This window comes from Homo sapiens, chromosome 2, assembly GCF_000001405.40.
Source record: "Homo sapiens chromosome 2, GRCh38.p14 Primary Assembly".
NCBI classification, from domain to species: Eukaryota; Metazoa; Chordata; class Mammalia; order Primates; family Hominidae; genus Homo; species Homo sapiens.
In genome coordinates this window covers 237,414,602-237,424,522 of record NC_000002.12, presented here as the reverse complement: position 1 = coordinate 237,424,522, position 9,921 = coordinate 237,414,602, and positions in this window count along the sequence as shown.

The following is a 9,921-nucleotide window of genomic DNA, read 5'->3' as shown; positions in this document are numbered from 1 at the left end:
CTATCCTCTTGCTCTGGGCCTGGCTCATTGATCTTGACCTTGTGCCCACTGCATTAGCAGTTGTTCTTTCTCATGTATTGGAAATGCACTGTCCCTGCGTCTTCTCTGGGATCCCTGTCTTCTAGAATCTTTGTTTTCCTTTTTCCTGATTTCTCTCTCAACTTGGTTTTACACATCCTTGGTGTAACACAGCCTTTAGTGAACTTCTGAGCAAAGATAATGGATAATAACTTTTGACATCTTACCTAGCAGTGAATTTGATTAATGGTTGGTTGTAAAATTTTAGGTTGGAAATATTTTCTTTCCAGGCTTTCAAAGGCATTGCTCCATGGGCTCTTTCCTTCCAGTGCTGCTGATGAGAATGTCTGATAGGCTTTCTGATTCCTGATGCTTTGTATAAACCCATGCAATCTTGTTTTTCTTTTTAGCTTTCTGTAAGTTGTTAGGATTTTCTCTTTATTATCAGTGTTGTGAAATGTGACAGGGATGTTTCCTCATGAGAATTCTTCTTCATTCACTGTTTCACTGTTCGATCGGGAAACTTACACTGTCCAATCCTGGGAATTTTTCCATATTATTTATTTGATCATTTCCTTCTTGTTGTTTTCTGTTCTTTCATTCTGTCACTTTTGTTTCTCAGATGTTGGACCTCCTGGATGAGCCTGTAATTTTCTAGGCTTCCCTGTTTTATTACCTCTCTTTGACTTTTTATTATACTTTCTCAGGGATTTTCTCAAGTTAATGTAAAAGCTTCTATTGACTTTTAATTTTTGCTATGGTATTTTTGATTTCTAAAAGATTTTTTTTTTTTTTTTGAGATGGAGTCTCACTCTATTGCACAGGCTGGAGTGCAGTGGCTTGAGCCTGACTCACTGCAACTTCAGCCTGCCAGGTTCAAGCGATTCTCCTGCCTCAGCCTCCCGAGTAGCTGGGATTGCAGGTGTCTGCCACCACGCCGGGCACAGTGGCTCATGCCTGTAATCCCAACACTTTAGGAGGCTGAGGTGCGTGGATTGCTTGAGGTCAGTTCTAGACTACCCTGGCCAACATGGTGAAACCACATCTCTACTAAAACTACAAAAAAGATTTCTTATTCTGTAAATGTTCTCATTTCAAAAGTAACATTCCTGTCTTGTTTCATGGATTATTATTTTTTCTTTGAGCCCTGTGAATATTGTTTCCCTGTAGAACAGTTTTCTCTTTTTTTCTGTGTTGTCTGTTTCCTCCAAGTCTGTTGGCCCTCCCTCCTGCTCTCCCTCCCTTTCTCTCTCTCTTTCTTCCTCCCTTCCTTCTCCCCTTCCTCCCTTCCTTCCCTCTTTTCTTTTTTTAGATGGAGTTTCACTCCTGCTGCCCAGGCTGGAGTGCAATGGCATAATAGCGGCTCACAAACCTTCGCCTCCCGGGTTCAAGCAATTCTCCTGCCTCAGCCTCCTGAGTACTTGGATTATAGGTGCCCACCACCATGCCCGGCTAATTTTTGTGTTTTTAGTAGAGATGGGGTCTCACCATGTTGGTCAGGCTGATCTTGAACTCCTGACCTCAGGTGATCTGCCCGCCTCACCCTCCCAAAGTGCTGGGATTACAGGCATGAGCCACCGTGCCCGGACTTCTTTCCCACTTTCATTTACATTTCTGCTGCTTATTTAGGGATATCCTTAGAGGGTGTGATTGACTGTTCATATTTGAGAATGAGTCCCTGAAAAGCTAGTCGGAGCTCTGTATTTATGGGTGGGACTTGGTGGGTAGTGAGTTTCCCAATGGCTGAAGACTTACCTATTTTTTTCAGGGTGGTGGTTGGGGGGAGACCTTATATATTAGCATCTTCTATCTTTCCTTTTGGTCCAGTCACTTTCTCCACGGAGGAACTTTGCCATTTCCGCTGGTAGAGTGGTACAGATTGAATTGTGTCCTCCCAGAAAGATTTGTTCAAGTTTTAGCCTCTAGTACCTCAGAATGTGACCTTATTTGGAAATGGGGTCATTGCAGATGTAATTATGTAGACGATGATGACGTCATGCTGGAGTGGGGTGCTTAATCAAATATGACCGGCGTCCTTACAGACGAGGAGAGACAGACACAGAGGAGAACGCCGTGTGAAGACAGACAAAGGGAGAAGCCTTATGGAGATGGAGGCTGAGATCAGAGTGAGGCAGCCACAAGCTAAGGGACTCTGGGGGAAGCAGAGAGGGAGCCTACCGTAGAAGCCTGGAGGGAGTGGGGCCCCGCCAACACCTTGATTTCAGACTCCCAGCCTCCAGAACAGTAAGAAATAAGTTTCTGTTGTTCTAGGTGACCCTGTTTGTAGCACGTTGTTACAGCAGCCCTAGCAAACTAACACAGAGAGTGTGTGTGCCCACTGCTGCCCAACATGCTGGCCAATGGGACAGGAGCTTGACGGGTAAGCACTTTCCCGAACCCCCTCCAGTTCCCGGGAAGAACTTTCCCGAACCTCCTCCACTTCTGGTGAAGCACTTTCCTGAACCCCCCCTCCACTTCTGCGCCTGCTGTAGGTCTCCCCGGGCCCTGTTCTGTGCTTGTTGTCCCCGGGTCTGGAGCTTCTCTGGTTTAATTGCTCTTGAAATTAATCCCAGGGTGAGGAGGGAGGAGAGGTCAGCGTGGGGTGGGGACCTAGGGGCCTAAGTCCTCCCTACTGAAACTCCCAACTCATCCCTGTGCTTTCAGCCTCAGCTCAGTCTTGGAAAATAACGGGAGCCTCCAGTTCCTGAGCGATCTGTTATCACTGCAGATCGGATTTCCAGTTTACACGTTCCTCAGGGCTTCCTGCCAGGTGGAAGTGAGGGCGCCCTCTTCTGGCGTCTCCAGCATCCTCCCGGCCCGTCTCGGCCGGCCCCTTAGCTCCGGTTCTCCGCGGGTCTGCAATGAGATCCTCGAGGTCCACGCCTGCTTCATTTTGGCGTCACCTCCACTTCCTAGGGCAGGGCTTCCCCACACAATAGCCCCTCAGTGCACATTTGTTGAGTAAGTGAAGGAATGAAGGAGTTGAGATGACTTTGAAGCTAAAATGAGTAGACATCTGACTTTGTGCCTAAGAGAAAATTCTTCCTAAGGCTAAGATTGTTAAATAAAGGAACTGGTCCACCCATCCTTTACACATGGAAATTTATATTTCAAACTGAAAAAGGCCAAATTGGCACTTTGGTGTCGTTCTATAATTATAAAACCAAACATCTCCTTGCTAAAATGTTTGCATTCCAATCAACTGCAAAAAGTTTCTTGGATCTTTTCACATTTGGGCTTGACATCCTTAAAATTAATCAGCTGAGCATGGTTTATAGCTCACAAAAATCTAGGGAAATTTTTTTTTTTTTTTTTTTTGAGGCGGAGTCTTGCTCTGTCACCCAGGCTGGAGTGCAGTGGTGCGATCTTGGCTCACTGCAACCTCCGCCTCCCGGGTTGAAGTGATTCTCCTGCCTCAGCCCTCCTGAGTAGCTGGGATTACAGGCACTCGCCACCACGCCCTGACTAATTTTTTTTTGTATTTTTAGTAGAGACGGGGTTTCACCACATTGGTCAGGCTGGTCTCGAACTCCTGACCTCATGATCTGCCCACCTCGGCCTCCCAAAGTGCTGGTATTACAGACGTGAGCCACCGCGCCCGGCCAGGAAAATGCTATATTTTTAACTGGGCAATTTTACACTGATTTTTCCTAGAGCCAGCTAAAAGCTGGCACATTCTCTTTAATGCAATCTTCTCATCCTCCCCAAATGTCCAGCTTCACATGTCCCCCCAAAATTAATCATTCAAGATGAATATAAAATTGTTTGTTAGACTTTCTTCACAAGAATGTTTATTTTCATAAGGTGTTTCCCATACACTCAAAGACTCACTTTAGGACCCCCAGTCCTCGCCCATATCTCCCTGGGTTGACGCTTTAGGACACATACTAGACATCTACTTTATATTTCAGGCTTTTGTGCTACTCAGAAACAAAGACTTCCCTTCCTGCCTGTTTCACTTATTTATTTATTTTTTTGAGACTGAGTTTTGCTCTTTTTGCCCAGGCTGCAGTGCAATGGCACAATCTCGGCTCACTGTAACCTCCACCTCCCGGGTTCAAGTGATTCTCCTGCCTCAGGATCCTGAGTAGCTGGGATTACAGGCGCCTGCCCCCACACCCAGCAACTTTTTGTATTTTTAGCAGAGACAGAGTTTCACCATGTTGGCTAGGCTGGTCTTGAACTCCTGACCTCAGGTGAGGTCCACCCATCTCGGCCTCCCAATCCTGCCTGTTTTGATGAGAAAAGTTTTTAAGAAAAGTCAAGGAAAATCAAGAATAGCTACACTTTTACCACAGCAGAAGAAATCATGGAATTACAGTGGGAATTAGTGTAATGGCTTGACTGATCTGCTAGTCCAGGACTTATTTCAGAAATGTGTCTTCTTCAAACAGATTGTATTAGTGCACCAGGCAGGACTTCTTTGGTTGTAAGTGTTGGGAACTTAACTTGAACTAGTATAGAAAGGATGTCTGAAATCAGAGAGCTGATTGCATTCTCTTTCTCTCCTCTCCACTTCTCTCTGCTTTGATCTCCCTGACTGGCTTCCTCCAAATGGTAGCAAATATGGCAGCTCCTGGTATTATCAGAGAGGGCTCAAGACTGGCTGGCTCTAAGATGTAAGCAGGCAGACCTGGGGATGAGCTTACCAACTCTGGATCACCTGGTAGAGGAGATGCTAGAAGGTTCTTCTGGAAGATGGCAGCTCTCATTTGAACCCCTGGTCAAAGTAGAGGATGGGCATTCCTGAAATAAGAGAAGTGTTGGTCTAGACACATGACCCAACAGCTTTCTGTGCATGGCTGGCACTACGTTTTCCTTCATAGCCTGGTGTGTTTTAGTAGCATAAAGTGAAGTGCTATTTGGTTTTAGACTCTCGAAAATCGCAGAAACAGCATCATTTGTGCAGTAGAATAGAGTAGGAAAAATTCACACCAACATGTCCATATGAAGTGTTTAGGGAATGGGGAGGGGCAGCTGGTCCATCTTTGTTCCTGAGCCCGGGTCTCAGTGGGACTGAATCTAGAGGTGGGAGCTTTGAAATGTGCAAATTGGGGCAGGGATAGAAGTTGAGGCTAGAAATGAGGCAGAGACGAATATGGCTGATGCAGCCCAGATCCCTGAGGGGTTATTGCTGGATGATTCTGGACATTATTGAGCACAGCTACCACTCACTCTGCAGAAGAGAAAACAGAGTTGCAGGAAGCTTAGTTGACGTGCCCAAAACCTGTGGTGAGTTAGTAGCAAAGAAGGCACTAGGGCCTCATTCCCAGAGATCCGCTCAACTTTCCACTCTGACACTCGAGGAGGCTTAAAACAGGCACAGGGATGGAATGAGAAACCCCAGCTGCCCTCTGGCTGTGGGGTCAGTGGAAGCCTCAAGTCCTCTTCCTTGATTGGGCTTCTAATCCTTCTTGTCTTGAAACAGGCCTAGTTGCCTCAGTGGAGCATTTTACTTTAAGCTGATTTTGGAATGTCACATACCTCCTCTTCAATAAGAGGAAACTCCAGCCTCACTGCAACAAGCAAATCTATTAACATGATTGCAGATCCATCACTGGGAGCTGGTTGGGAGGGTGAGAAGAGTGGACTTGAGCTGGCCCTCCAGGAATATCTCCCAGGATATCCCAGCATAAACCCTCTGGTCTATTCTGGGAGGCAGGGAAACAGGAGCCTGCCCCGGAGAGACTGAACTTAGGAACACACTGCACAGCCGCAATCCAGGGTTTACAGGACAAAGATCGAGGCACCCTTCAGCAGCTGTCTGGATGCTGGGATGCGGGGTGTGGCAGATGCTGCTGCTGTGGCTGCGACTTCCCTTTGAGTCCTGGAGACTGTGATGGAACTCGGATGCTTAGTCTGTTACACAGTCTGCCACTGCCTCTTAACATTCAGGGAGCTGGAGTCTTCATATTGGCTTCTCTATGACTGTGTGTATGTTCAAGTTCCTTCTAGCAGAGCCTGAGACAGGGTGTTGTGCAAGCGATTACTGAGGGAGAGCTCCCAGGGGAAACCTAGAAGGAAGGCAGGAAGAAGGATGAGGGCAGGAGAAGAAGCCAGGCAAGGAGTGGGTTCTGAGAAGTCAGGCTGGTCCCATGGCAGGTGTTCTGCAGTGAGAATCCTCTTGCCAAGTTTTTCTGGCCCAGAGGCAATGGACTGGAGTGTCACATCCCACATCAGACATCACTGGCTGTGGGCCACCCCAAGGGAGATGGGCTATAACCCTGTACTAGTTATCAACTGCTGTGTAACAAATTGTCACAAAACTAGCAATTTACGACAACATGCATTTAGTATCTTGGGTCAGGAGTTCAGGCTTGGCTTCACTGGGTCCTCTGCTGGGGTCTCAGAGGCTGAAACCTCCGTTTGGGAGACTACATTTCTTTCTGAAACACGGAGTCTTTTCAAAGCTCACGTAGATGTTGGCAGAAGTCAGGCCCTTGTGGTTGTCGAGTTGGGGTTCCTGCTTCCTTGCTTGTTAGGAGCTGCTCTCAGCTCCCAGAGGCCCCCACATTTCCTTGCCATTGGCCCTCACAGGATGGCGGCTCACTTTGTCAAGGCCAGTGTCTTAGTCCATTTGGATGGTTGTAACAAAATGTCTTAAACTTGGTGGCTTAAACAACAAAAATTGATTTCTCATGTTTGGGAGTTTGAGAAGCCCAAGATCAAAGTGCCCGCAGATTCGGTGTCTGGAGAGGTCCTGCTTCCTAACTCGTGCACTGCACCTTCCCTCTGTATCCTCACATGGTGGGAGGATGGAGCAGTCTCTCCATATCCTCTTTTATAAGGCACTGATCCCATTCATCAAGGCTTCTCCTCTACGACCCAATAACCTCCCAAAGGCCCCATCTCCCAATACCATCACTTTGGGGGTTAGAATTTCAACATATGGATTTTTGGGGGACATGACATCCAGACCCCAGCAGCCAGCAAGATAATCTCTCCCTGCCGTTTCCTAAGACAGAGTCTTCTGTGATCCCTGGGTGACTTCCCACGACCCAACTGTAACCTAATCCAGGAAGGGACACCATTCATTTTTGTCGTGTTCAAAGGCTGGAATCAGGGCTCAGCTTCCATTTGCACGCAAGGGGGGTGGATTACGCAAGGGCTTGACTCCTGGGGGTCATCTTGGAATTCCACCCACCTCACACACCCCAATGTGTCCAGAAGAGACAGATCCCAGCATCCACGAACAGTCCTCCAGGAAAGGGCGTGGGTGTGAACCACTAACATTTGACTCTCATCTGAGGGGAGTCTTGCAGAGGCACCCATGGGACCTTCCACACTGTCCTTGCCCGCAGGAGAAAGGGCAGCCAAAGTCTCAGAAAATCGCCATCCCTCAGGCCACCTTCCAATCCCATAGCCGTGTATCTGGATGGGGAGGCCCCATCCCCATCAGGGCCACAGCTACAAGGGAGCTTGGAAAATGGAGTTCTGAACTTGCTAACTTGTGTAGTTAAGGACAAGATAAGGGAAGAAAATGGGAAGAGGTGCCAAGAGCCAGTTCAAGCCTGCAGTGAAGGGGAAACAGAATTGAGATATTCCGTGACTTATGAGGTGAACTGAGAGATTCAGTGACTTATGAGGTCCCACCGATGGCCGGGCCTAGATCCAGGACTCAGGACGTTTAGGGCAGCTCAAACTTTTGAGGTTGTTTTCCTCCTGGGATCAGGTAGCAGAGAGGAACTGGAAATGTAAGTGGGAATCCACATAGTGGTGATTAAGGAAGAAAGCTGCCATAGAACCCAAATTCTCTCTTGTTAGCACAAGGGAGGTTTACCATGAGTTTCTGGAAGTTTCTAGAGCCATGGGCAGTGCTGAAGAGGATCTGGATCATCAATGAGTAGGTGCAGCTAAATATTAAAGATTATGGTTTCCTACTGAATGGGAGCTTTTATTTCTTTAAATCATGTTCTAAATGATTTCTTGCCCTTGCTGTTTAAATATAGCCATCCATTGGTATCCATGGGGGACTGATTCCAGGAACCTCCATGGATACCCAAATCCACAGAGGCCCCAATCCCTGAAGGAAGGTGGTGTAGTATTTGCACATAACCTATGCACATCCTTCTGTGTACTTCAAGCCATCTCTAGATTACTTATAATACCTAATACAGTGTAAATGCCATGTAAACAGTTGTTATACTGTGTCATTTAGAGAATGATGACAAGGAAAAACATCTGTACATGTTCAGTATATATGCAATCATCTACTTTAAAAAGCATTTTTGAACCACAGTTGGTTAAATCCATGGATGCAGAACCCATGGATACGAGGTCGACTGTAATAGAAACTTTCAATACCAAGGAATGCATCTGCCTAGCGATTTTGCGAAAAAGAGTGTATTTGTATTTGAAAGAAACCGTGGAGTGGAAACACCTAAAACGTGCTTGTTCAGTTAACCTCAGTTTGCTGAGCTGCTTGGAGCATGGGGTTGTAATCAAAGATTGTCTTCTTCGCAGCAGACAATGTTCTGGGAGAAATAGTCCTCCTTAGTGCTGAAGTTGCAGACTCTAACCAAGGGGGTGGCAGCAAGTATCCCCGGTCTCTGTAGGGGCTTGAGTCAACGCCTGCACTGTGCAGAGAGGATGAGGGCAGAGAATTGGATGCCGCTGGAGGGGCGTGTTGTCCTTCTACATGTCATGCAGGCAGCGCGGTTCTATACTCGGAGCCTCTGCTCAGCGTGTCTTCACCTAAGAACCCCATAATTCAGGTTCCATCCTTGTTCCCTACTCCAGTGCTCTGCAAGTGAGCCCTTTGGTTTAGAGATGGGTTGGGCTTCTTTATGGGAGAGGAAGGGAGCCCTGGAGCTGCAGAGGGGAGCAGGCATTCTCTCTGGGGTGCTGTCTCCTTTCTTCCCTAAATTGGAGGGAGATAATCCATGGAAAGGAGTTAATGATTTCTTTGCTCTTCAAACTTGGTTTGGAAGGATCTCTCAGTCAAAAAGAACCTTTCGGATGTCTCTTGATATTTCACATTAATGGACTTTTCATAAGGACCACATGATGGGAGAGCAGTGAGAAGTTTGGGGATGGCCAAAGCTGGGTTGTCATTTGAGCTCTGTTACTAACCCAGACTGGACAATGACGATGTCACTTACTCTCTCGGAACTTCTTTTCTTTTCTTCTTTTCTTTTCTTTTTTTCTTTTTTCTCTTCTCTTCTCTTCTCTTCTCTTCTCTTCTCTTCTTTTCTTTTCATTTCTTTTCTTTCTTTCCTTTTTCTCTTTTTTGGAGTCTCACTCTGTTGCCCAGGCTAGAGTGCAGTGGCGCCATCTCGGCTCACTGCAACCTCTGCCTCCTGGGTTCAAGCAATTGTCCTGCCTCAGCCTCCCAAATAGCTGGGACTACAAGCGCCTGCCACCATGCCTGGCTAATTTTTATATTTTTAGTAGAGATTTAGTAGGGGTTTCACCATGTTGGCCAGGCTGGTCTCCAACTCCTGACCTTGTGATCTGCCTGCCTTAGCCTCCCGAAGTGCTGAGATTACAGGCATAAGCCACCGTGCCCAGCCTGTTTCTTTCATCTGTAAAATGGGACCACAATTTCACCTAATAAAAGAAGACATCTTTCTATTTAAAAGGGCTTAGGGTGTTGATGTTTGTGATAAAGGAGAGAATGTATATTGAAGTGTTTTGAAATGTGCAAAGCTTTCTAGAAACAGAAGTTCTTACTCAAGTATTTTCCCGAAGCTTTGGCAAGATAACCATTTTTATTACCCCGTCTGTGCCTAGAATGGGCCTATAAGCGCCACAATCAGAATCATTAGATATAGAAATTAAGAGAAATGTAGCCTCCTTTTTTTTGCCGGTGAACAGAGCTTTGGTTAACAGAAAACCAAGGCGATTTTAATTGCTGGTTTTTCTATTTGAAGGGGGAAGTTATTAGTAGAAGTCTCAATTCAG